This window comes from Homo sapiens, chromosome 8 (assembly GCF_000001405.40).
Source record: "Homo sapiens chromosome 8, GRCh38.p14 Primary Assembly".
NCBI lineage: Eukaryota > Metazoa > Chordata > Mammalia > Primates > Hominidae > Homo > Homo sapiens.
This window is the reverse complement of record NC_000008.11, coordinates 69854967-69860774: the sequence shown is the minus strand read 5'-3', so window position 1 is coordinate 69860774 and position 5808 is coordinate 69854967. Positions and strand designations below refer to the sequence as shown.

At 40.7% G+C, this 5808-nt stretch overlaps 1 pseudogene; it reads left to right on the top strand.

The window, feature by feature from the left end:
- LOC100288097 (BAG cochaperone 4 pseudogene) lies at positions 220 to 1805 on the top strand (annotated as a pseudogene).
- The last annotated feature ends 4003 nt before the right edge of the window (positions 1806 to 5808 follow it).

The following is a 5808-nucleotide window of genomic DNA, read 5'->3' as shown; positions in this document are numbered from 1 at the left end:
AATTACTTCTCTATGCATCTGTAAAGAGAAATCCATAACCTGAAAAGAGAACTAAGTCTGAATTCTGAGTAAGGTTTTGGATCTTATCCAAAATTTTGTATTGTCAGAGCAAAATCACACAAGTTCTAAACACTGTCTAAGAATATGCAGTGGCTTGTGTAAATTAAAACTTAATTTGGCTTGCCCGATGGGTCGGCCGTTGGGGGTGGGAAGCACTTCAGGGCAGCGGAGCCCATGTCGGCCCTGAGGCGCTTGGGCTACGGCCCCAGTGACCATCTGTCCTACAGCCGCTACTACGGGCCTGGGGGTGGAGATGTGCCGGTGCACCCACCTCCACCTTTATACCCTTTTCACCCCGAACCTCCCCAGCCTCCCATTTCCTGGCGGGTGCGCGGGGGCGGCCCGGCGGAGACCACCTGGCTGGGAGAAGGCGGAGGAGGCGATGGCTGCTATCCCTCTGGAGGCGCCTGGCCAGAGCCTGGTCGAGCCGGAGGAAGCCACCAAAGTTTGAATTCTTATACAAATGGAGCATACGGTCCAACATACCCCCCAGGCCCTGGGGCAAATACTGCCTCATACTCAGGGGCTTACTATGCACCTGGTTATACTCAGACCAGTTATTCCACGGTAGTTGCAAGTACTTACCGTTCACCTGGCACAGCCCAACTCCAGTCTCTGGAGTCTATCCCCAGCAGGACTGTCAGACTGAAGTACACCCTCTTAGGGGGCAGGTTGCAGGGTATCTAGCTTCACAGAACTCTGGAATGACCCTGCCCCATTATCCTTATGGAGATGGTAATCGTAGTGTTCCACAATCAGGACAAACTGTACGACCACGAGAGAATGTGTGGGCTTCTCCTGGTGCTTATGGAATGGGTGGCAGTTATCCCTGGCCTTCGTCAGCGCCCTCAGCACCACCTGACAATCTCTACATGACCTAAAGTACTTCACCATGGCCTAGCAGTGGCTCTCCTCAGTCACCCCCTACACCCCCACTCCAGCATACACCCCCACTCCAGCAGCCCAAGGATTCTTCATACCCCTATAGCCAATCAGATCAAAGCATGAACCGGCACAACTTCCCTTGCAGCGTCCATTAGTACGAATCCTCTGGGACAGTGAACAAGAATGATTCAGATCTTTCGGATTCCTAAGTCCAATATAGTGCTGAGCCTCAGCTGTATGGTAATGCCACCAGTGACCATCCCAACAATCAAGATTAAAGTAGCAGTCTTCCTGAAGAATGTGTACCTTCAGATGAAAGTACTCCTCCGAATATTAAAAAAATCATACATGTGGTGGAGAAGGTCCAGTATCTTGAACAAGAAGTAGAATAATTTGTAGGAAAAAAGACAGACTAAGCATACTGGCTTCTGGAAGAAATGCTAACCAAGGAACTTTTGGAACTGGATTCAGTTGAAACTGGGGGCCAGGACTCTGTACGGCAGGCCAGAAAAGAGGCTGTTTGTAAGATTCAGGCCATAGTGGAAAAATTAGAAAAAAAATTATGAAAGGATTTAGAACAAAGTGAAAGCCTGTTACTAACTTGACCAAAGAACACTTGATTTGGTTAATTACCCTCTTTTTGAAATGCCTGTTGATTACAAGAAGCAATACATTCAACTTTCCTTTGATTTTAAACTTGAAAACTGGCAAAGGAATGGAAGAATATTTCAGTCATGAGTTGTTTTCAGTTTTCAGACGAATGAATGTAATAGGAAACTATGGAGTTACCAATATTGCCGAGTAGACTCACTCCTTAAAAAATTTATGGATATCTGCAAGCTGCTTCTTATCAGCAGGAGGGAAACACACTTTACATAACAGGCTTATCAGAAACCTACAAGATGAAACTAGATATAATCTGAGACAAACAGGATGTGTTTTTTTAAACATCTGGATATCTTGTCACATTTTCGTACATTGTGACTGCTTTCAACATACACTTCATGTGTAATTACAGCTTAGACTTTAGCCTTCTTGGACTTCTGTTTTGTTTTATTATTTGCAGTTCAAAAATATAGTGTTATTCGCTACTTCTTGGTACCTTTTGTAGTAATATGTTTAATATAATTATTCAGGAGACTATATTGACAGCCAGAGAATATGGCAGTTCTGAAAGAATTTATATCTTTTCACCACTTGAATATACTGCAATGTGTAGAGAGTAAATTGTCTCCCTTTTTGTATAGATCATTAGGTTAGAGGTTTTTTTTTATACCACTTCTGCTGTTCATTGTAGTAGTGGAAGGTGAATTTGGAAATGGCATTGACATAAAATGAAAATGTTTACGGACATTTTTCTTTTTTGCTTTTTTATTGTATTTGGATAAAGATCTACTTAAAAATTACCTATTTTTTTTTCCCCAAAGTGTAATTATGTTTTCACTATTGCTGCTTCTATAGAGGGCATTGTGATAGAGAGATACAGATGAAACATTAAATGCCACAGCGAGTAGAAATGATGACTACAAAAAGTAAAAAATATTACTTGGTAATGTCATACTCCATCTAAAATATTAGTTTCATCTATGAGCAGATTTCAGCTCAGTTTATAGTTAAAAACAATGAGGGTAAAAGGGGATTCATGCTCAGGGAATGAATCAGCCATAGTTAGAGGGGGAAATTATTATTTTCTTCATTTAAAGGTAGATTTTGTGTTTATCTTTACTTCCCTGAATTGCATAAGATAAAATTGCCTTTTTAATAAAAAGACATTTATTACCATTATCAACAGTCATTTTAGAGCCTAATTTAAGAAAAGGATATTGAAAGAGTCTTTGTTGGCCTTGCTTGGGTAGCTCTATGCTGTTAGATAGAAGAGACTTTGGTAAATAACTTTTTATGTCTCAGGTGAGTACACAATATTGGTTCTTGGAAAAACAGCTGTTTCTTCATAAGATACCCAAGTGATAATTGTTTTCCCCTAGACTGTCAGGCCTATGATTAAATACTAAATCTATTAGCTGTATCCACTCATAAACCAAACCAAACCAACACAAACATATTAGATGAGGAGAGGAAATGCAGTAAAAATACTGGCTGGGTCTTATGGTTGGGATGAGTAATTTTATAAGATAATATGGTGATAGTTTTATTCTAGGATTTTATTTTTGGCCTAATACAGGAATGTTTTTTAAAAAGGCTTTTCTATGAAAATTAGAAATTTATACTTGAGATTAAAAGTCTAGAAGGGGGAGGACCTTAAAGCTAAGTTACCAGTAAGACAATGAATAATTCGGAAGAGAACACTACTGTTTTACTGACTAAGTGCCCAAGATGCCAATTTCCATGAAGTCTTGATTATATATATGTACACATGTTATGCACATATATACATATATGTGTGTTTTTTAACAGTTATTTTTTAAGTTTTTGAGATAATTTTAGACTTACAGAAGAGTTGTAAAAATAGTAGAGTTCTTGTATATTCTGCACCCACCTTGCCCTTATGTTAACATCTTACATAACAATAGAATATTTGTCAAAATTAAGAAATTAACCTTGATATAACACTAACTACAGTATAAAGTTTAAAAAGTAGAGAATTTAGTCTTTTCACTAATGTCCTTCTACTGTTCTAAGACCCAGCCTTGCATTTAACTGTCATGTCTATGTTGTGTCTTCCAGTCTGTGACAGTGTATCATAACAGGGGATACCTGATGTTGTAATGCATTTCTGGTGTTGTTAACCTTGATCACTATGCTAAGGTGGTGTCTGCTAGGATCCGCTACTGTAAACTTATTATGTTTTCCTTGTAATTATTGAATATTTGCTGGAGATACCCTGAAACTATGCAAATGTCCTGTTTCTGCTTAAACTTTCACTCATTTTACTATCCATTGGCAGATCTTGCTTGTGGCAATTACTACTGTGGTGCTCTAATGGTGATTTTCTATTTCTCTGAATCCTTCTACACTTATTAATTAGAATTCTTCTGTAAGGAAGAGTTGTCACTTCTGGATTTATATTTTTAATTATAATAAGATATTCAAGATAAGTATAGATTTAGAACTTAAAGATGTTAAACCATGTTAAAATTATTCCAAATACCAATATCAAAGAAAACTGAGTTGGTAATCTATCTCAGAAAAGATATGAACTTAAGAAGGAAAATAGTATTTATGATTTGTAGAATTGGTTCAACTTTTGACTTAATATTGACTTAGGACTGAATTCAAAGTTTTCTTGAAATTTCACATCTGGACTTTTTTTTTTTTTTTTTTTTTAGTATTTATTGATCATTCTTGGGTGTTTCTCGGAGAGGGGGATGTGGCAGGGTCATAGGATAATAGTGGAGAGAAGGTCAGCAGATAAACATGTGAACAAAGGTCTCTGGTTTTCCTAGGCAGAGGTCCCTGCGGCCTTCCGCAGTGTTTGTGTCCCTGGGTACTTGAGATTAGGGAGTGGTGATGACTCTTAACGAGCATGCTGCCTTCAAGCATCTGTTTAACAAAGCACATCTTGCACTGCCCTTAATCCATTTAACCCTGAGTTGACACAGCACATGTTTCAGAGAGCACGGGGTTGGGGGTAAGGTTATAGATTAACAGCATCCTAAGGCAGAAGAATTTTTCTTAGTACAGAACAAAATGGAGTCTCTTATGTCTACTTCTTTCTACACAGACACAGTAACAATCTGATCTCTCTTTCTTTTCCCCACATTTCCCCCTTTTCTTTTTGACAGAACCACCATCGTCATCATGGCCCCTTCTCAATGGTCGCTGTCTCTTTGGAGCTGTTGGGTACACCTGCAGAAAGCCTGTCACTTCACACTTGGAAGATTGCACAGCGGCCAGGCAGAGGTGCTCCTCACTTCCCAGACGGGGTGGCCGGGCAGAGGCACTCCTCACCTCCCAGACGATGGGCGGCCGGGCAGAGACGCTCCTCACTTCCCAGACGGGGCGGCCGGGTAGAGGCGCTCCTCACATCCCAGACGATGGGCGGCTGGGCAGAGACGCTCCTCACTTCCCAGACGGGGAGGCCGGGCAGAAGCGCTCCTCACTTCCCAGATGGGGGCGGCCGGGCAGAGGTGCTCCTCACTTCCCAGATGGGGTGGCCGGGCAGAGGCACTCCTCACTTCCCAGACAGGGCAGCCGGGCAGAGGCGCTCCTCACCTCCCAGATGATGGGTGGCCGGGCAGAGGCGCTCCTCACTTCCACATCTGGACTTTTTAAAGTGTCTACATTTATATTACTTTGGGGATCATTTTGTCAAGGTCTTGAATAAAGTTACCCAGTCCTAGCATGGTAAAACAAAACAAAAGAACAAAAACAAACAAAAACCCCCAAAAACCCTTAATTTTGGGTAATTAGAATCTTACAAAAGAGGCCAATTCAACCAAAGGGGAACATGGTCATTGTTAAGACAATATGATTTTTTGAAGCATACTTGTTTTATGGGAGGATTTCTGTGTAAGTATTGAATAATTACAGTGCTTTTGTTTGCCAGATCCACTAATCAACCTGTTTTGAAAGGTTGATGGTGGTAAGAATTCTGGCAGGAAGTCAAGATGGTAATGGCTTTGCTCACCATCAGGTGTTTGGCTATCTTCCTTGGAGGAAGCTGGAGGGTAACTCCAGTGAGGTATGTCTGTGACTAATAGGGCTGATTAAAAAGCAAACATTTTAGAATGTCTCTATCCTAATGAGCGCTGTCCCTTTCAAAGTAGGATGCTAAATGCTACTTCCAATATTGCTACTGTTAAGCCCAATTTTTTTGGAATCTTTTGGAAGAAGGTTCAGATCTTATGGCACAATCTTTAGAATACCATCAGTGGTTGACACTATCTTTGGGGTTGGATTTTA